Source organism: Homo sapiens, chromosome 8 (genome assembly GCF_000001405.40).
Source record: "Homo sapiens chromosome 8, GRCh38.p14 Primary Assembly".
Lineage (NCBI taxonomy): Eukaryota > Metazoa > Chordata > Mammalia > Primates > Hominidae > Homo > Homo sapiens.
Window position 1 is genome coordinate 21,895,243 of NC_000008.11, and position 19,939 is coordinate 21,915,181.

Genomic DNA, 19,939 nt, shown 5'->3' on the forward strand with positions numbered 1-19,939 from the left:
AGGAAGGGGTTTTCTGAATGGGAAGCAGGGTACAGAACATCCTTTTTTGTTTGTTTGTTTGAGATAGAGTCTCTCTCTGTCACCCAGGCTGGAGTGCAGTGGTGTGATCTCAGCTAACTGCAACCTCCGCCTCCAGGGTTCAAGCGATTCTCCTGCCTCAGCCTCCAGAGTAAGTGAGACTACAGGCGAGCGCCACCACACCCAGCTGATTTTTTGTATGTTTAGTAGCGACAGGGTTTCACCATGTTAGCCAGGATGGTCTCGATCTCCTGACCTTGTGATCCGCCTGTCTCAACCTCCCAAAGTATTGGGATTACAGGCATTAGCCACCGCTCCCGGCCTTTTTTGTGTTTTGTAGACAGAGTCTTGCTCTGTCACCCAGGCTGGAGTGCAGTGGCGCGATCTCGGCTCATTGCAACCTCCGCCTCCCGGGTTCAAGTGATTCTCATGCCTCAGCCTCCTGAGTAGCTGGATTACAGACACGCACCACCATGCCCGGCTAATTTTTTGTATTTTCAGTAGAGACGGGGTTTCACCATGTTGGCCAGGCTGGTCTCGAACTCCTGGCCTCAAGTGATCCACCCACCTAGGCCTTTCAAAGTGCTGGGATTACAGGTGTGAGCCACCGCGCCCAGCCACAGGGGAGAGGACAATCTGAACAGATGCTGCTCCCGGGTCCGGACCTCCTGGAGCTGATGCTCCTGGACCTCCTTCTGAGCCTCATCTCCTGGGGGCAGAAGGAAACCCTGAAGGCCCAAGCCAGCAGAGACCTCAGGGTGCCCACGGACACCAGCAATGACAAGCCAGGGGACATTCAGATGTGACTGCATCCAGACATTGCAATGGGAGGACACCCTCCCAATCCCACCTGCTCAGTGTTGCTGGGGCACACCCTCAACTGCCAGCACATCCACTCCGATCACACAACCTCTCCCAGGATCTTAGACAGAGCCTCGCCTGGGGTAGAGTCGGCAAGGAGGGTTTCTGGGCTGCCCTAGAGTCATGGTGAGACTCCAACTGGAACTGCTTTCTTCTGTTGGGGGCAGGGCAGCATATAACAGGCTCCAGGGAGCCCCTGCGCTCCCTGCCAGGCCCCTAAGTGCAGCCTCTCCATCCAGATGGTCTCCATTGATCTGCTGGAGATTTTGCCGACTGGTCAGTTCTTCATCCCATCCTTCTTCCGGCTCCAATCCCCTCCTCCTCAGACCATCCATCATCTGTCCACCTGCCTGAATCACATCAGGGGCTGGCAGGGGCCTCTTAAAGGAGCCAGGGCCCAACCCTCAGGTGTCATGTCAGCTGCCCACAGGTACCAAAGCCTCCCTCTGCCCTGGGACTTTTGCGCTTGGTACTGGCTGTTTGTGCAGTTTCTGGCAAGCCCTAAAGGGAGCTGGCTGAGCTCACAGCACGTGGATCTAAGGGTCTCTAGACCTGGTTCCCTCAGTGGGCCTGTCTTGTGTCCTATCCTCATTGTTCTCATTCTGATGCCTCGTGGAAACTCCGATGACCCCTGAGACATGAGCTGAGGAAAATGTAGACATTTGCTTGCCATGCAGGACTCTGAAGGATGATCAAGACTTACGATTCAATAGAGGTACACGACTTCCACTCTCATCCCAGGATCTTATTTTAAGCCATGTGACAATCCCATAAGGTCTACCCCATGTTTCTAAACCTATGTGACAGATGAGAGACCCCAGCTCAGAGCAGTGAGGTGACTTGCCTAACGTAGCACAGCTGTCAGGGAAGAGTCCCTGGAGTTAGTTCTCTTGCCACTGTCCCTTGGAAGTCTTCATGTCACAAACGAAGGAATCTCCCCTCGGGACCGTAACAAGCAGCATGGCCAGCAGGCAGCCTGGCATGCTGGGAAGGGCTTGGCCAAGTCCCAGCTCAGCCACTTAGGAGCCCCGGCAGCCTGGAGCCAGTCATCCAGTTTCTGCGAGCTCAGTTTCCTCATCTGCAGAACACAAAGAACATCCATGCCTTTCCAGAAAGGAACAAAGGAAAACATGGAGTGTTCTGGATCCTAAGAAGTCCAGTGCCCCAGGAGGGGTCAAGACCACTGCACCCCCAGGAGATCCCCATACCCAGTATTTGGGACAATGTGACATGCTGTAACAAGGCAGTCTCTGCGGCTAACTGTGGTTTCCGTAAACAGAAGCTGCTTTCTCACTTCCTCCTGTAACGGAGACCCCTATGTCCATGACTCCCTGTGTAAAAGGAACAAAGAGAGGATGGGTGCGGTGGCTCACGCCTGTAATCCAGCACTTTGGGAGGCCGAGGTGGGCGGATCACTTGAGGTCAGCAGTTTGAGACCAGCCTGGCCAATGTGGTGAAACCCGTCTCTACTAAAAATACAAAAATTATGTGGGCATGGTGGCATACACCTGTAATCAAAGGATCTCGGGAGGCTGAGGCAGAAGAATCACGTAAAGCCAGGATGCAGAGGTTGCAGTGAGCCAAGATCGTGCCACTGCACTCCAATCTGGAAGACAGAGCAAGACTCCATCTCAAAAAAAAAAAAAAAGTAACAAAGAGGACCAGGCCAAATGGCTGAGAGGAGAGACAAGGAAGAAAGCTACATGAAGCGGGCAGGGCTCAGTTCAGGGATGATTCATGCTTGGAGACAGACGTTTCTGGTAGCTGAAGGAGGTGAGCCTGGCTGGGACCCAGCCCAGGTGAGACACAGCCAAGTGAGGACGGGAGGGAGAAGAGGCAGCTGAACTGGGAGATGGCTCTAAGACCAGCTTCCCAGGAAGAGTGAAGCTGGATTTTACAGCCACTTGCAGGCGCCTGCTAATGAAGGAAACTAGTCCATGAAAAATGCCTCCCAGGTATTTGTGGCTGTCCCCAGGGGCTGGCTCTGTGTCTTCTGGCACTGGTGCCATGTCCACTGAGACCACTGCTTCTACACTTCACTGGGTGTTCAGTGGGCGCCACCAACTCCCAAACTCCTGAGGCTGACAGTGCTTGGCACCCTGTAGCAAAGTGATGAAACTGTCCCATTCCCTGCTCTGTTTCAACCTCAACTAGATGAATGCCCAAATGTGCAGTGTGTGCCCAAAGGCCTTAAGAACTCTAAGTGAAAGAGGCGTGTTGAGAGATAAGTCCTAGAGATAGATGCCCAGAGGTAACTCCACTGTGCTCTAATGGTGCCACCTGGACTCGTGCAGTGCACAGCCTGTGCAGCTGTCCATGGTGTCCCAGTAGACACTATACCATCCTCAAAGCACCTCATCTACCTGACAGCTTGCTCTTTTGCCTTGGTCAAGTTTCTCATGCTTGCCTAAGCCCTCATTATAAATGGTGTCTCCTAAATTTACTCATTGCTCAAGCTGCATAAGCTTGCACAGAAAACCTGCAGTGCTATCTCCTTGCTTTAGGGTAAGTTCTGTCCCAGGGAGCTCCACTGCCCCTCATGCTACTGGACCCACCCTACCATTGCTCTGGACATAGCCGAATCCCAGAAGAGAGCCCCACAAGGTTTCAGTTAAGCCTTTGAACCTATATTTTCCTCATTCCCTCTTGGCAAAGTCATTCCTGCTGACTTGCTATCCTGACAATTTCCCCCAAACAAAAGACTATATAGCATTAATGGGAATTTTGAAGGTCTCCTGATCCAGGCCTATCATTCTGCAGATGGGAGAATAAGGCCCAGAGACGGAAGAGACTTGCTGGACGGCCCATGGCCAGTTAGTGGCAGACCTGGGATTAGAGCTCCTAATTTAGTTCCCTGTCTAGTGTCCATTGTCACGGACCTGCAGAGGTTATGGGTTGATGAACAAGCCACAATGTCCAAGCACATTGCCCTCTGCCCTACTGCTGGCCTCACCTGCCTTCCCCATCAAAGAAGTCAAAGACCAGCCTGGCCAACATGGTGAAACCCCATCTCTACTAAAAATACAAAAATTAGCCAGGCGTAGTGGCAGGCACCTGTAATCCCAGCTACTTGGGAGGCTGAGGCAGAAGAATCTGGGATTGAACCTGGGAAGTGGAGGTTGCAGTGAGGTGAGTGAGATCGCACCACTGCACTCCAGCCTTGGGTGACAGAGCAAGACTCCATCTAACAAAAAAAAAAATGTCAAAGGTGACTTTCTTTTTAGGAGGCAGCTCTATTTTGTCTGCTGGGGAACAGGGCCCTGTGCTGGGCCAGCCAAGCCAGAAGTCAGGACCAAGAGAAGAGAGATTGGCTGTCTGGAGGGTCTGATAATAACTGAAGATCCGAATGCGCTGCAGAGAGCTGGCCCCGTCTCTGCTATAGGTTCAGGCTGGGTTTGCCGAGTGTGGCTGGTCAATTCGGCCCAAGTGGCCCTGAGGGCCCCAGACCCTGAATGTCTGGCTCTGGACACCAGTCCTTACTTCCCGCAAGGCTCATCTCCAGCCTGCCAGGCCTGCCCACAAAAGCCTACTGAGTGCTCTGTGTCCAGTCCACCCTGGCTGGCCATGCTTCTGTGAGTCCTCAACCCCTCCTCCATCCCCACCTCCTACCCCAGAGCTAGCCAAGTTCCCATTCTCTTTCAGCCAACAGTCTTTGAGAAAACCAAATTTTTTCTCATTGCTTCTTAGCCATAATCCCCAGGTTCAGACAAACCGATTTTTTTTTTTTTTGAGACGGAGTTTTGCTCTTGTCACCCAGGCTGAAGTGCAATGGTGGGATCTCAGCTCACTGCAACCTCCACTCCCCAGGCTCAAGCGATTCTCCAGCCTCAGCCTCCAGAGTAGCTGGTATCACAGGCATGCGCCACCACGCCTGGCTAATTTGTATTTTTAGTAGAGATGGGGTTTCACCATCTTGGCCAGGCTGGTCTTGAACTCCCTGACCTTAGGTGATCTGGCCACCTTGGCCTCCGAAAGTGCTGGGATTACAGGCATGAGCCATTGCACCCAGCCAGACAAATCAGTCTTGCAGGCAGTTTGGCAGGGCTGGAACCTGGCTTAAGTAACTACTCCAGCAACCTCTTGAGGCTTCTCCTTGCCCTGTGACCCAGCAGGATCATCTTGTCCCAGCTGCCCTCCCTCGAGCCATTTCTAGATGACCCTTCATCACCATGGAACCTCTGGTTCCTTTCCTAGACGCCATCTCTGGTTGTTCTTTTGTGTGTCCACTCCTTCCCCTTCAACCAGACCCATCCCAGTTCACTTCTTCATCCCATCAGCCCTGAGCCTGTATGGCCTTGTGCATACTCATGGGCCAAATGGTTCTTATTTGTAGGTGGAAGCAGGAATTGGAGCCCAGAGTTGGCCACTGCACCTTACTCTGAAGTTGCCTGCTAGGGAAAGCTACCCCTCAGGGATCAACGTCAATGGTAACATAGGGGGAGTAGTCATCAGAGGAGGATGGAAAGAGAATAAGTCCGCAGAGCTTTCCTTCCACCATGGGCAGCAAGGTAACCAGCAGGAAAAGAGCAGCTCAGCCTCAGCTGCCTGTAATTAACTCACTCCCCAATGAATTTGCTCAGAGCCATGCAGTGATGATCTTAGGGAGGGGAAGAAACCCTTACTCAGTGATAGTAGCCCTTGCAGGAAGGTAGAACAGGGAATCAGAAATCTCCTTCCCTTTTGCTCTCCCTCACTTGCATAAAAGATCAAAAACTATCTCCCACTGGCTGAGCATGGTGGCTCACACCTGTAATCCCTGCACTTTGGGAGGCCGAGGTGGGTGGATCACCTGAGGTCAGGGGTTCGAGACCAGCCTGGCCAACGTGGCAAAACCCCCTCTCTACTAAAAACACAAAAATTAGCTGGGTGTGGTGGTGCATGCCTGTAATCCCAGCTACCTGGGGGTGCTAAGGCAGGAGAATTGCTTGAACTGGGAGGCGGAGATTACAGTGAGCCGAGATTGTACCACCTCATTCCATTCTGGGCAACAGAGTGAGACTGCCTCAAAAAAAAAAAAAGGAAAAAGGAAAAAAAAAAAAAATCTCCCTGTGGATGCAGGAAGCCTTGACTTTGGTGATTGAGTCCTTTCCCTGAAGCACAACCATAAACAAATTCTCATAAAATGTAAAACACCTGAGAGGGATTTAAAAATCAACTTGGCCTCAGTTTCCATAAGTACAAAAATAAGGCCTCAGGCTGAAGTGCTATTAGGACCTTTCTGGATCAGACATCATGCTCCTTGAAATCTCCATGATGAGGAGTTTCTCAGCCCCTGGGGCTTCCAGAAGGCCCCAGCCACTGCAGGATGGGGGCCGAGGTGAGGACATAGGAACAGGGAGAGAGGTGGGAAAAGTGTCCATGCCCTGTCTGTGCCTCCATCCGCAAGCCTGGCTCCCAGGTTCTGAGAGTGCATCAGAGATGCAGCACCAAGCAGGCCCCAACTGCAGGTCCTGCTCTAGACCATTCTCACCCTCTGGGGGCCCTGGAGACCTCATTCACTCCAGTGATGCCTCACCCCACGGCATCTGCATTTTAAAAGAAGCCTGCTAGGAGAGGGAAGGCACTCTTCCCAAAATGTAAATGGTGGGATTCTTGGCATCTGTAGGGGTGTATTTATGGAGAGAGAGTCCTCCAGAGCACCACAGCTCATTACACACTGGAGATCACCTGTGTTCCTCAAAGGCAAAGTGGGCTTCGTTTATTTTTCCAATCAAGAAACAGTTATTTGTACCTACCTAGTGCCAGGCATTGTGTTAAGTGTCAAGGATAGAACAATGGACTGGGTAAAGTATGAACCCTGCCCTTTGAACATTTGCAGTCTAGTAGGAGAGATGGCAAACTCCTTCTGAATGTTCTCTTGGCTCCTTTCTGCCCACCCCCTCCCCAGCTTCCTCCTCTCAGAACTGTTACTGTTCCCAGGGCTCCTCTGGCTGGCTGCAGGGCAGCGGCCCCAGGGGTCTGCATTGATCACATCAGTTGGTGAGCCCTGCCAAATGAACCAGGTACTTCTGCCCAGCAAGGAACCTGCCTCTGCACCCCGATGAGCCACCTGCTGCACCGTGCATGGATGTGGCAGCTCAGATGAAAGGAGGAAAGCCCCCGCTGTGGCTGCCTGTTCTCCAGCCTTGCCTGAAGCCAAAGGTCTTCTAGTCTACGAAGCATCTTCCCTTCCCGGCTCCCCCATTCCTGGGCATAATAGGCCACTCGAGCATTGCTCTGCCCTGGTGTGCAAATTTGCCCCCGCTAAAGCCCCCATGTCCAGCAGCTGAAAAGCTATTCATGCTGCTCTCTTCACCTCTCCTGAAATACTCTTCCGCTTTTGTGCTTTCCTATCAAAAGCCTAGCTCCTTCCCAACCAAGTCCTTCCACCCGCAAAGCCTCAGTTCACCCTCCAAAGACAAGGAGGTCTCTGCTCCTCTATGCCTCCATTGCCTTGTTGGTAAGACAGGGATTTCTTGCCTTGCCCACCTGGCAGAGCTGTTGAAGGTGAAATGAGATCATGGATAATCCCGGAGCTCTGTGTGTGGCAGGCACTCTTCTCCGAGCTGGGCATTTATTCACTCAATTTCATCCTCACCACAAGCCTTCAAGACACATATTATCATCATCTCCATTTTTCACATGTGGAAACAGATGCAGCTACCCAGAGACACAGCTAGCAAGTTGCAGAAGCAGAATCTGGACCCAGATAGTCAGGCTATGGTCTGTGTGCTTAACAGTCCACGCTCAACTGCCCCCAAAGCAGTTTGGAAACAGAAAGCGCTGTATAAACTCAAGAACATTCTTATCATCCTAAATGCTGGCGCCCCCTCCGGCACACCTTTCACTCCACCCCACCCACCCCTCCCCGATCAAACACCTGGACGCACAAGGCCAACCCCGCCCTGGATGCAGGTCCCCGAATTACTTAGCAGAGCACTGAGACCCCATCTCCCTCACAAGTCTGTCAGAACCCAGTGCTTCCCAGTCTGTTGCCCTACTCCGCCCCCGACCAGCCATCTCTGGCTCAGGGATCCAGGAGCTAGAGTCAAGAAGAGGGTTCTGACCAGGTATAGTGCCTCACACCTATAATCCCAGCATTTTGGGAGGCTGAAGCTGGTGAATGGCTTGAGCTCAGGAGTTTGAGACCAGCCTGGGCAACATGGAAAAACCCCGTCGCTACAAAAAAATACAAAAAATTAGCTGGGTGTGGTGCATAGCTGAGTATGGTTGGCAGGTCTGTCCTGTAGCCCCAGCTACTTGGGAGGCTGAGGTAGGAGGATCACCTGAGCCCCGGAGGTCAAAGTTGCAGTGAGCCGAGATCACACCACTGCACTCCAGCCTGTGTGACAAAGCGAGACCCTGTCTCAAAAAAATAAAAAGCAGGCCGGGCGCGATGGCTCACGCCTGTAATCCCAGCACTTTGGAAGGCCGAGGTGGGTGGACAACCTGAGGTCAGGAGTTCGAGATCAGCCTGACCAACATGGTGAAACCCCATCTCTACCAAAAATACAAAATTAGCCGAGCGTGGTGGTGCATGCCCGTAATCCCAGCTACTCGGGAGGCTGAGGCAGGAGAATCACTTGAACCCAGGAGGCAGAGGTTGCGGTGAGTCAAAATCATGCCATTGCACTCCAGCCTGGACAACAAGAGCAAAACTCCATCAAAAAAAAAAAAAAAAAAAAAAAAAAAAAAAAGCACAGGGTTCCAGAGGTGGCAGGGAGGCAAGGAGGAGAGAAGCAGGCCTGGCCAGAGCCTGGAGATTGATGGGTTCTGCTCCATGCTGGCCGGCATTGGATCCGCCCGGGAGCTGAAGATGGGAGCAGGGCAATGATGAACAGCCTCCTGCCATGGGGAAACCAGCTTGAGGCCTAATCAGATCAGATACCCCCTCCCAGCTCCTCTGGCTCCTCTCCCTCCTCCTCACAGCTCACGGACCTCCCGCACTTACTTCCCAGCCCTGTCCTGCCTGAGGTCTCCAGCCACCCCAGCTGGTTTTATAAATGGCCCTTGCAGGCTGTGGGCACCTTGGCTAATTGAGTCTGCACCCACGAGGCAGGAGGCAGGAGGCTGGTTAGCATCACGGATGAAAGGCAGTGACAGCAAAAACTTGACTGGAGTCGTCAGGGAGGAGCCTGCGGGAGCAGAGAGAGCCAAGGAGCTGGGCCTTTGTAGATTCTGAAGCTCCAGGGGGAGAACTCACGAGGTGGGGAGTGGGGGGCGGCCTGGCCACCCCCACTGTCACAGGCTTACACCATGGACCACAGGCCAACACACACACACACACACACACACACACACACACACACCCCACTTCTCTGCTTTGGAAAAAGAAAATCCAAGGGGAGGCAAGAGAAGCAGAGCAGAAAAGGAACGGGAAAAATGATGTTGTGTGCTGCGTGCGCACATCTCTATGCTAGATGCCAGTCATGCAGCCATCCTTACCTGCCCCGATGTCACCTCTGCATAATAACTAGCAATGAAACCAGTTTATAAGAATCCTGGTCACAGCAAACCTCATGGTGTCAACAGCTGTCTGACTTCGGACCTTGGAGCCTTCAAGAGGCCCTTCTGGGTGGATCAATCACTTGCTGTGACATTGCCCTGTCCCCTTTTGAGGGCAGCTGTTTCCTTACATATGAATTTGCCCCTGAGCATCCTGGTGGCATAGAAACCCTCCAAGGAGGCCCGGCGTGGTGGCTCACGTCTGTAATCCCAGCACTTTGGGAGGCCGAGGCAGGTGGATCACCTGAAGGCAGGAGTTCCAGCCCAGCCCGGCCAACATGGTAAAATCCCGTCTCTACTAAAAATACAAAAAATTAGCCAGGTGTGGTGGCGGGTGCCTGTAATCCCAGCTACCCAGGAGGCAGAGGCAGGAGAATTGCTTGAACCTGGGATGTGGAGGTTGCAGTGAGCCGAGATCTTACTGTTGCACTCCAGCTTGGGCTACAAGAGCGAAACTCCATCTCAAAAAAAAAGAAAAGAAAGAAAGAAAAGAACCCTCCAAGGAGGCCCTCACCACCGTGTGTCTGTTTGAGAAGGGTGATCCCTCAAGCAAGCTCCTTCATTCCTGTGTTCAGTGAACATCTGCCTGCCCACTCCACACTGTAGGCCCCTCGAGGGTGGGATGGGTCTGTGCTGCTCCCCAGCTCCTAGGCGGGACTGGTCCATGACAGATGCTCCAGGGCATTTGCTTTTTTGTTGTTTTTGTTTTTGAGATAGGGTCTCACTCTGTCCCCCAGGCTGCTGTGCAGTGGCTCAATCACAGCTCACTACAGCCTCAACCTCCTGGGCTCAAGCAGTATTCCCACCTCAGCCTCCCAAGTAGCTGGGGCTACAAACAAGCACCACCATACTCAGCTAATTTTTAATTTTTCTGTAGAGATAGAGTTTCCCTATGTTGTCCAGACTGGTCTCAAACTGCTGGGCTCAGGCAATCCTCCCACCTCGGCCTCCCAAAGCACTGAAATTACAGGCATGAGCCACCATGCCTGGCCCATGACATTTGTTGAATGAAGGAAGGTACACATTACAGATGACCATGGCGCAGCTGAGGCTGGCTGTAGTGGCACTGACACCATTCTCTGGAGGGTGGCACACCCCTTGGATCAAATCTTCTGAGAGCGACCCTGATGGCATGATCAGCATTTTCTCAACAACTGTCTTAAGGACTTTCATTACCCCTCCCAACTTCCCCAAAAGCTACTTCCCCTGTCCCTCCAGCCCTCACCCCACCTTTCCCAAGGGCCCTAATCAACCACTTCCCCTTGCATGGCACAGAAAGCATTAGTATGGAAGAACCCAAGTCCCTAGATCTGGAAAGTGGCGAGAGGGGACGAAAGGGCAATGTCCAGCTTAGGACCCCAAACTTCTTGAAGGCAGGGTCCACACATCTGGGAGTGGGATTCTGAGGCTCTGAAGGGACAAGCTCTGACATGCAGATTCCTCAGATTATCCCCAAGCCCTTCGGGTAGTAAATGCCTTCCTTCAGGGCCAAGCCCCCAAGGCTGGTGGTGGCAAAGCCCCCCAGTGGCCTTTTCCACAGGCTAACACCGCCCCCTGCCGGGCTAAGCCAGGACAGCCACTTCAAATGCCACCTTAGGAAATCGGAAACGTGGCTACCTTGCCAAAGAGAAACCCCAACTCCCACTGCTGGCCTGAAGAGGGGGAAGAGTAAAATCCTTGGAAGTGGGGCCTTCCAGCCTTTAGTGATCCAGAGGCTGGAAAGGGAGGGTACCAGGGGGCACCTTCCACACAGACAGGAAGGCCCCTCACTGGGTCTCTCCAAGCAGCTGATCCATTGCTCAAGTTCCTTCAACAAGGGAAAAGGCCACGGTGAGAGGAGAAACAGAGGTCACAGCACACCTGGGAGGCCAACGTCCATGTCTAAGTCTACGCCCCTCTCCCTCCTAAGCGCTAGCTCTCCCACCCAGCTTCAGGACTCGTCTTGCCGGATCAATACTAGCCATCTCCATCTCATCGCATCAGAAACTAAGTTCATCTTGTTCCCAAATCCTGAGTCTCAGGCCGGGCACGGTGGCTCACGCCTGTAATCCCAACACTTTAGGAGGCGAGGTGGGCAGATCACTTGAGGTCAGGAGTTTGAGACCAGCCTGGCCAACATGGTGAAATCCCGTCTCTACTAAAAAAAAATACAAAAATTAGCCTGGCGTGGTGGCTCACACCTGTAATCCCAGCATTTTGGGAGGCTGAGGTGGGCAGATTACCTGAGGTCAGGAGTTTGAGACCAGCCTGGCCAACATGGTGGAACCCCATATCTACTAAAAATACAAAAAATTAGCCGGGTGTGGTGGTGCACGCCTGCAGTCCCAGCTACTCGGGAGGCTGAGGTGGGAGAATTGCTGAACCCGGGAGGCTGAGATTTCAGTGAGCCGAGATCACACCACTACAGTCCAGCGTAGGTGACAGAGTGAGATTCTATCTCAGGAGGAAAAACAAACAAACAAAAAAAAACCCGAGTCTCTCTAGAAACCCTCTTTCTCTGTGTTCCACATCCACTATGAGTCCAAGATCCACAGGTGCTAGCTCTACACCATCTTTTGAATCCAGTCCTTTCTGAACTTCTCCCTTTCCCACTTTTCTTGAGCCAGGGTCTTGCTCTGTTGCACAGGCTAAATGATTCTCCAGCCTCAGCCTCCCAAGTAGCTGGGACTACAAGTATGCACCGCCACACCTGGCTAAGTTTGTTTGTTGGTTTGTTTGTTTTTATAGAGACGCGGTCTCATCACTATGTTGCCCAGGTTGGTTTCGAATTCCTGGGCTCAAGTGATCCTCCCACTTTGGCCTCCCAAGTTGCTGGGATCACAGGTGTGAGCCACGGTGCCCAGATGAATTTCCCCTTTTCTTTTTCTTTTTCTTTTTCTTTTTTTTTTTTTTTTGAGACGGAGTCCTGCTCTGTCACCCAGTAGGGTGCAGTGGTGCAATCTCAGCTCACTGCAAGCAATTCTCCTGCCTCAGCCTCCCAAGTAGCTGGGATTACATGTGCCCACCACCATGCCCAGCTAATTTTTGTATTTTTAGTACAGATGGGGTTTCACCATCTTGGACAGGCTGGTGTTGAACTCCCGACCTCATGATCAACCCTCCTCGGCCTCCCAAAGTGCTGGGATTGCAGGTGTAAGCCACCGTGCCTGGCAGAATTTCCCCTTTTCAATTCAGCCCCAACCTACCCCCTCCCACCCCAAGTCCACCTTCCACAGGGCTATCGGGTTATTGCCCTAAAGCTCAGCTTTTATGGGACTCCCTGTTCAAAAGCCTTTAGTCGTTCCACCTTTCCCTCTAATTAGGTACAAATTCCCCTTAATACAGTCAGAATCTGCCTTCCCAACTAGATTGTGTCACCTTACCCGCACTCTGAGCGTAGAACTCCGTCCCGAAAGCAACACATCCGTACCTCCCCGTGGTTTCACCTACACTCCCATTCCTATCCAAGATGCTCCTTCACACCCCCTTTATCTCCATGGAACTCCTTCCCACCCGTAAATGCCCACCTTAAATGGTACCTTTGATATGAAGCCTTTCTTGCGCTCCCAACAAATAGTTACCTCTCTGGCACTCATGGCCCTGTCTGGTCCCTTGTGGCACTCACACCCACTCTGTGACAGACACCTGTGCCTTGTTTCATCTCATCCCCTTCTGGGCAGTGTGTCTCTCACAGGCCATGCAGTCTACAGCCTCCCACAAACAGTGCCCATGCTGTCGGCGGACTGGGTTGATAGCTGAAGTCCATGGACACACCCTACTGGGAAAGCAGGTTTTGATAAGAGGAGCAAGCACAAGGACACAGGCTGACCTGTGGGGAAATGGTGTGTGGGGACCTAGGAACCCAGAGCCAATGGGAATCACAGAGCTGGATGGCTCCTCCTTGCCCACATGGGGCAACCCCCTCATTTTATGAAGATGTGCAGAAATCTCAGGGAAGCGAAAGGGCCCAGGACCACACACCTGGTGACTCCCACTCCTGGTGTACAAGAGGCTCCATCAATCCAATTATTTCCTTCCTTGCACTTTGGCTCGCCCCCCGCTCCCCCGTGCTTCCCCCACCATTTTTCTGACATTGACCTTCTCCCAGCAAAAGGGAGACATACTTGAACACTATTCCCAGGGCACCCTGACTGACTTCTAGAGGCCTCTGTGAGCAGATGCTTGGGGCTCAGCCTAGGCCCCAGGGGGATCTTGCAGCTGGGAGAGGATGTGATCAAGGTTGGTCAGTTGGAGACTTCACTCCCACAGCATTCATGCCACACAGAAATGTTCTGAAAATGCTTTAATGCCACCAAGAAATCTGAAAGGTGCAGGAAGCTGCCGCCATCCCCCTGGGTGCCTGGGCCCAGGCTGTCCCTGAAGTGGCCATCAGCAGGCAGGAGGCTTGCATAGCCAAGCAGCCCAAGCAATTGCTGACATCCTTTTGTCCTCTGCCCTAAATGCCCCAGGTTCCTCCTCAGCTGGGGAAAGAAAGAGGAGGAAGTGGAAAAAGAGTAGGAGGAGGGTGGTTCTCTCCAGGGCACCCTTCCTGCTTTGGGATGGTGACTCACCCAGCAGGCCCTGGGAGAGGCAATTTATCAGCCCCAACGAAGACAGGCCAGGCCTCGGGCTCCAGAAGGGGCAGAGGAGGTTCTTCTGATGCAGTGGCCAGGAGGAGTCACCAGCAGAAGCCAAGGGGCGGTGGACCATCCCTCTGCTGCCTCTGTCACTTTGGGCCTTTCTTTAGTACAACATTGTCATACTCAGTTCCTGGCTGCCAGCCAGAAGCAGAGAAATCCTGCCCGGCTGGCTGGACATGCTGGAGGCCAGCAGGGTCCCTGTCAGCTGTCGCCTGCCTCCTCCATGCCTCACCCCGGGGCTCCTGCGGGCTGTCATAGAGGGACAGGGCAGCCACTCCCTCGGGCTCATCGTATATGTGGTCAGGTCGAGGGGGCAGGGTCTCCTCAATGCTGTCGTACAGAGGGTCGGCCAGGAGCTGAGGAGGGACTGCCAAGATGCCCCTGAAGTTCTTCCCCAAGGAACGGGCCACCGCATCGAAGGGCACGGCATACTCCCCCTCCTGGCCCCGAGGCCGTGGAGCAGGCACCGGTGTGGTGGGTGAAGGCGGCGGCAGTGAGTCATGCGGCCGAGAGTAGGGGCTATCAGGCCGGGGCAGCGACGCGGGGATTGTGGCTGGCTGCGGTTGGGGTGTAGCGGGTGCAGCATTCTTCTGGGCAGAGATGGCCTCTTCCAGGGCCAAGAAGATCTCATTGCCTTGCCGGGTTTCGAACTCAAAGTTGCCCTCTCCAGAGACGCAGCGACGGCCTGCCTCAAAGGAAAAGGTTACCTGGACCAGGGAGAAAGCAGGTTATTGGCCAGGCCACAGGGCAGGGGTGCATTTTTTTTTTTTTTTTTGGAGACAGAGTCTCACTGTGTCTCCAGGCTGGAGTGCAGTGGCACAATCTCAGCTCACTGCAACCTCCGCCTCCCAGGTTCAAGCGATTCTCCTGCCTCAGCCTCCCTGGTAGCTGGGACTACAGGCGCATGCCACCACGCCCAGCTAATTTCTGTATTTTTTGTAGAGACAGGGTTTCACCATGTTGGCCAGGATGGTCTCGATCTCTTGACCTCATGATCCACCTGCCTCGGCCTCCCAAAGTGCTGGGATTACAGGCACGAGCCACCGCGCCCAGCTAGGGATGCTTTCTTAAACCCCATCCCTAACCCAAGCCCTGGGACCTCCAGCTTCCCTTCATGGGAACTGCTGGAGCCTCCTCTGCCCTCTGTGCTTTCCCCTACAGGCAGAGACTTGGCTCTCTCCTCTCCCCTCTCCAGGCCCTTCCTGCTCACTGCCACCATTTCAAGGATGGAGCTAGGCACTAGTTCAGACGCTGTTTACCCCTCTACGGTCTCTCCACCTCTTCTCATTCTCCTTCCTTCTACTCCACTTCTGCCATCTTGTCACTCTATTCTTTGCTTCACTCCATCTCCCTCTCCTGGTCTCTCCCATCCCCTCGCTGCTTCTCACCCCTCTTTGTTCGTAGCTTATCCTTTCTCTCAACCTGCCCTGATGCAGCTTCCCACTCACCTTGTCCCGCCCAAAGCGCCGCAGAAACCTGTAGGGCCAGTCGTACAGCTGGGTCCCTGGCTCGGGCCCACCCCACAGCTCCAGGGCACTCTCCCCAGCCCGGAGGGTATAGGACCCCCGCAGGTGGCACCTCTCACTGGCTTCTGTAGGTCTCATGGTCACAGCAAATTCCTTGTGGGGGCCGACTGGGGAGAAGAAGAGAGAGAAGGCGAAGGCAGTTAATGGGAAACAGCTGGCCTGCCTCACCACTGCCCAGTTCTAAATGAGCGTACCAGAACTTTTCTAGAAAGTATTATCCACACACTTATGGCCCCCTGCCTGGGTCTTGGAGGCTGAGCTGCTCTGTGCCAGGTCATACTCCCCAAAAGGCCAGGTACCTCCACCCCCTACCCTAGTAGGCATCACGCCCCTACCCACATCCACCCCAACCTCGTGCCCACATCCTTCCTGCCCCTGTCGCCAGAGCCACAGTCTTGTCTTCCCCACCCCATCTCTCACCCCAAACCAGCCACCACCCTAGTCCCTACGGTCACAGCTGCAGGTGAAGCCTTGGCCCTGCCCTCCCACTGCCGGGGCCCTGGGGGTGAAGCTTAGATGGAAGGCAGATGAAAGTTTCTCCTCCCTCCACCAGCTCCTCAAAAGCAACACCTGGGGCCAGGCGCAGTGGCTCATGCCTGTAATCCCAACACTTTGGGAGGCTGAGGCAGGTGGATCACCTGATGTCAGGAGTTTGAGACCAGCCTGGCCAACATGGTGAAACCCCGACTCTACTAAAAATACAAAAAATTAGCCAGGCGTGGTGGCCGACGCCTGTAATCCCAGCTGCTCAGGAGGCTGAGGCAGGAGAATCGCTTGAACCCGGGAAGCGGCGGTTGCAGTGAGCCGAGATTGTGCCATTGCACTCCAGCCTGAGCGACAAGAGCAAAACTCCGTCTCAAAAATAGAAAAAAGCAGCACCCTCACCTGGGCCCCCAGCCTTCCCCTCTCCCACCAGCAGGCCCTAGGTAAGATGAGGTGAACCAAGGGAGAGACTCAAGGCAGGGTAGGCTCCCTACGTTGGGCTGCACCCGGAAGCGAGAAGGAGAGGCTGATAACGGGGCTGGCCCAGGCTGGGGATAACCACAAGGCAGGAAGACTCGGGGCCAGCAGCTAGCCAGCCCACACCTCCTCTCCACCTCACCCTGGGGAGAGCCCCCAGGGGAGAGCAGGGCAGCCCCCGCCCCCTCACCTGTGACTGCGCTGCTGTACAATTCATTTTCCTCCATGCAGGGCCGGCTCTGCTTTCCCTCTGGCCCCGAGAGCTCCTTCCTCTGCCCCTAGGGAGGAGGCGCCCCGTCTCATCACCTTCCCCGATCCCCAGGCCCCCCTCTGGCCCAGGCCTTCTTTCAGGCCACCTCAACCTGCTGGCTCTGTCTGCACACTGGGTTCGGGTCCCCCCACATGGAGGAAGCACCCCATCACCCTGACCTTGACACCTGTAACACTTGCCCACAGGAAGTATCTAACACCCTCGGCCTGCACGCCCCCTTGCCCTTTCCGCACCCCGCGCGACTCACGGGGAAGGCCAGGAGGCAGATGGCCTGCACCCAGTCGCCGCGCTCCGCTGCAGGGGCCGCCAGGAGGTACAGGCGCTCCTTGGTCTCCAGGAAGAAGGCACTGGTGTCCCGGGGGCTGCTGGCCTCTCCGCCGGCCTCGGCCACCCGCAGGCAGTCACTGAGGCGGATGACCTTCCGGGCAGCCTCACACCGACGAGGCTTCTCCGGGCCCTCCTGCAGCTCCAGCCGGGCCAAGGCGCAGTCCGACCCTCCATACAGTGAGGCGCCGAAGCGGCGCCATTTCTGTGCCAGAGGCGTGGGAGGCGGGGGCGGGAGGGAGCCACCCAGAGACGGGGAGATCGTGAGCCAAGGGGAGAAGAGGAACCGTGGGAGGGGGACTGGGGCAGCCACTTGGAGATGGGGAGAGAGAGGTGAAGATCACATGAGACCCAGGGAGGCAGAGAAGAGGACAGTGACTGCAGGAATTAGAAAATCGGAGATCAGCCGCCAGCCCCGAGAAGGAGGCCCACGAGCAAGAGCAGAGACTGCCCAGGCAGAAAGCAACGCCGGGATGAGCCCAAAGCAGGCTGCAAGAAGGCCAAACAGGCCCACCGCAGTGGACTCCAGTCTGGGGAGGAAAGCGGGGCAGTGGCCGAGGCCCAGAGGAGGGAGTGAGGAGGGCGGCGTGTGACCCGGGCTGGAGACCTCATTCTCCTTCTGTGCGAAATCCTGAAGGAGAACTTCTCTCCACCCTCCTGAACCTTGCTGCCTCATTCCTTGATAGGTTGGGCCATGAGAGAGAGACAGGTGTGCCCCCCAGTGTTGGTTAGGGGACGAGGACTTCCTGGTTCAAGGAGGCCAGGGAAGGGGAAAGAGGATGGACAGCCGGCTGGGGTCCAGGCCCCCAGAGGCCCCAGCCCAAGCTGAACACCAGCCACATGCACCCCACTGGGGTTGGGAAGGAACCTCTATTGTCATCCTAAACTGTCCCTCCAGCTGCCCCTTCCATTCCCTTCCAAGGTGTCCGGTGAAAAGAAGTCAACATAGAGCAAGAGAGCAAAAGAGGCAAGAGATGAAAGCAGCACATCCCCCACCCCCACCCAGGGCAAACAGCCCTCAGTAAGGAGCACAGTTTGGGACCTGGTTGGGGCCTGGTTCAGGAGACAGCGTCGGGTAGGAAAAGAGCCCTCCCAAAGTTGAGCTCTGGGTCTAACTTGGTGGGTGCACAGTCAGACCTATAAGGGTTTTGAATATGAAACTCCCTCTCCAACCCAGGAATTCTAGCAGCCTCCCAGGCCCCCTGCCCAACCCCAGCCCAGCCTCACTCCTACCTTTCCAAACGTCTGCTGCTGCTGAAGATACAAGAAGCCTTGTTTCACTGCCCCGTCTCCCATCCTCTGACCATCTCGGAGCCCCAGGCTTCAGCTCTCTCCTTCACTCCTGCCCTTGCCTCTCTCTTCTTAGCCGTGTGTTTCCCTTCTCTGAAGTTCATTTCCTCTCTGCCTAGGGTTTTCTATACTATTCTAGTCTGCTCGATGACGACAGGCTGATAGGCCCTGCGGTTTCTTCTGAGTGTGTGTTCTTTTTTTTCTTTTTTTTTTTTTTTTCTGAGTGAGTTTTATACTCAAGCTTCCTGCATTTCCAGTGAGTTAGAGACAATTTCCAAAAAGCTAAATGCCAGCTCTTCAGTGAGCAACAATTCAGGTACAGAAGTTGGCACAGGGAGGCGCCAGCAAAGAGTGGCTGGCCCACTGGAACAGAGACCCAGAAACCAAACTAGACAGTGAAATCAGTAGTGAAGGCCCCCCCCTCCAAGCTGTACGCAAGTTGGAAGGGACAAACCACTAAGTTACAAATAAGGAAACAGGCTTGGAAAGTCTGAGGGATTTATTCAAGGTCACCAAACCAGAACCCAGGTCTCTCAACGCTTAACAGCTGAATGACACACACGGCACTGCACAGAGAGACACATAAGACAGCTCATGTGGGCCTAACCAGATACCAGTTTCACAAACACACACACACAGAGAGAGAGAGAGAGAGAGAGGCAACCGTTTAACTACATGCGAGCACTCCCTGTCTGCCAACAACACACACTCACACCAACCCTGTAAAGATTCTAGAAAGATGATCATCCCCTCTGGAGAAGGGACTGACTCCCCAAGTACATCTCAACTGTTGGATTTTTGCCTTCTTGCAAGCATTCCTGAGCATTAGAAAGATGCTTAGGTTTCATCTGCAAATTATCTTAAGTTTCAATAGCAATCACTTTCATATACATTTTGAAAATGGTTCAGAGTTACCGAAAGTGCTTCGTAGCTCGCAAAGCTTCTAGGCACACACTTTTCATCAGCCACGCCATCCTTTGACAAAGGCAGGGCAGGTATGAACACACTTATTTGCAACTTGCCTGAGGTCACAGAGGTAGTTGGGGGCAGAGGAAGAAGTAGAGACCAGGGCTCCTGATCTTTAATTCAACATTTTGCAGGGCCCCTAAATGGAATCCAGATCCATGCAAAAAGATCCATTGCTGTGGGGAAATCCAAGCTGCTCAGAGAAGTTTAACTTAAAGCCAGATGGTTTAGAGAAGCAATCTGTATGGAGGCACAGTGCAGAAGGGTTGGAAAAAACTGAGACTCAGACCAACACTCTTGGGGTTAATCCCATAACAGGTGCTTATATAAACAGGCCCATTTCCTCTACAACAGGGGTTCAGTTACCGTGGCAAGGAGCGAGCAGCACCGTGCACAGCTTAGGCCTTCTGCTGTACATGCCATGGACTGGACCAAATAAGCTTGAAAAAAATGAATGTCATGAGCTCTGTGAGGACAAGGATGAGTCACTTCAAACTCACTGCCCTCAGCCGTGATGCCTGGGTTTGAAGAGGTTGATCCAAAGCTCAAGGGAGAACCAAGCATACTGTTTTGGGAAAAGCACACCTTGGGAAGTGGTTAGGGGTATGGAAATGGGATGT

The 19,939-nt window shown here is 53.9% G+C and overlaps 1 protein-coding gene across 4 annotated transcripts, besides 5 other annotated features; it reads right to left on the minus strand.

Moving 5' to 3' along the window:
• Nucleotides 1,820-1,969: an enhancer, noted in NCBI's record as "active region_27067". NCBI's record gives its function as "activates an Ori minimal core promoter by ATAC-STARR-seq in GM12878 lymphoblastoid cells {active_cell/tissue: GM12878}" and the evidence as "EXISTENCE:reporter gene assay evidence [ECO:0000049][PMID:35858748]".
• Nucleotides 2,060-2,109: an enhancer, noted in NCBI's record as "active region_27068". NCBI's record gives its function as "activates an Ori minimal core promoter by ATAC-STARR-seq in GM12878 lymphoblastoid cells {active_cell/tissue: GM12878}" and the evidence as "EXISTENCE:reporter gene assay evidence [ECO:0000049][PMID:35858748]".
• Nucleotides 2,230-2,289: a silencer, noted in NCBI's record as "silent region_18973". NCBI's record gives its function as "represses an Ori minimal core promoter by ATAC-STARR-seq in GM12878 lymphoblastoid cells {active_cell/tissue: GM12878}" and the evidence as "EXISTENCE:reporter gene assay evidence [ECO:0000049][PMID:35858748]".
• Nucleotides 8,617-9,445: an enhancer, noted in NCBI's record as "H3K4me1 hESC enhancer chr8:21761370-21762198 (GRCh37/hg19 assembly coordinates)". NCBI's record gives its function as "activates a minimal SCP1, AML or CMV promoter by ChIP-STARR-seq in naive H9 embryonic stem cells {active_cell/tissue: H9 hESC(naive)}" and the evidence as "EXISTENCE:reporter gene assay evidence [ECO:0000049][PMID:30033119]".
• Nucleotides 13,631-18,448, minus strand: DOK2 (docking protein 2). 4 transcript variants are annotated; one of them, NM_003974.4, is made up of 5 exons: nt 18,297-18,448; nt 16,987-17,268; nt 16,659-16,746; nt 15,431-15,615; nt 13,631-14,689 (listed from the first exon to the last, which is right to left on the minus strand). In NM_003974.4, exons 1-5 carry the CDS (start codon nt 18,357-18,359, stop codon nt 14,069-14,071), a joined length of 1,239 nt encoding a protein of 412 aa, NP_003965.2. In that variant the 5' UTR covers nt 18,360-18,448; the 3' UTR covers nt 13,631-14,068. The 4 variants fall into 4 exon arrangements, with proteins under 4 accessions (NP_003965.2, NP_001388201.1, NP_958728.1 ...); NM_001401272.1 differs by lacking the exon at nt 16,987-17,268; NM_201349.3 differs by lacking the exon at nt 16,659-16,746.
• Nucleotides 16,366-16,465: an enhancer, noted in NCBI's record as "active region_27069". NCBI's record gives its function as "activates an Ori minimal core promoter by ATAC-STARR-seq in GM12878 lymphoblastoid cells {active_cell/tissue: GM12878}" and the evidence as "EXISTENCE:reporter gene assay evidence [ECO:0000049][PMID:35858748]".
• Nucleotides 18,449-19,939: the final 1,491 nt, after the last annotated feature.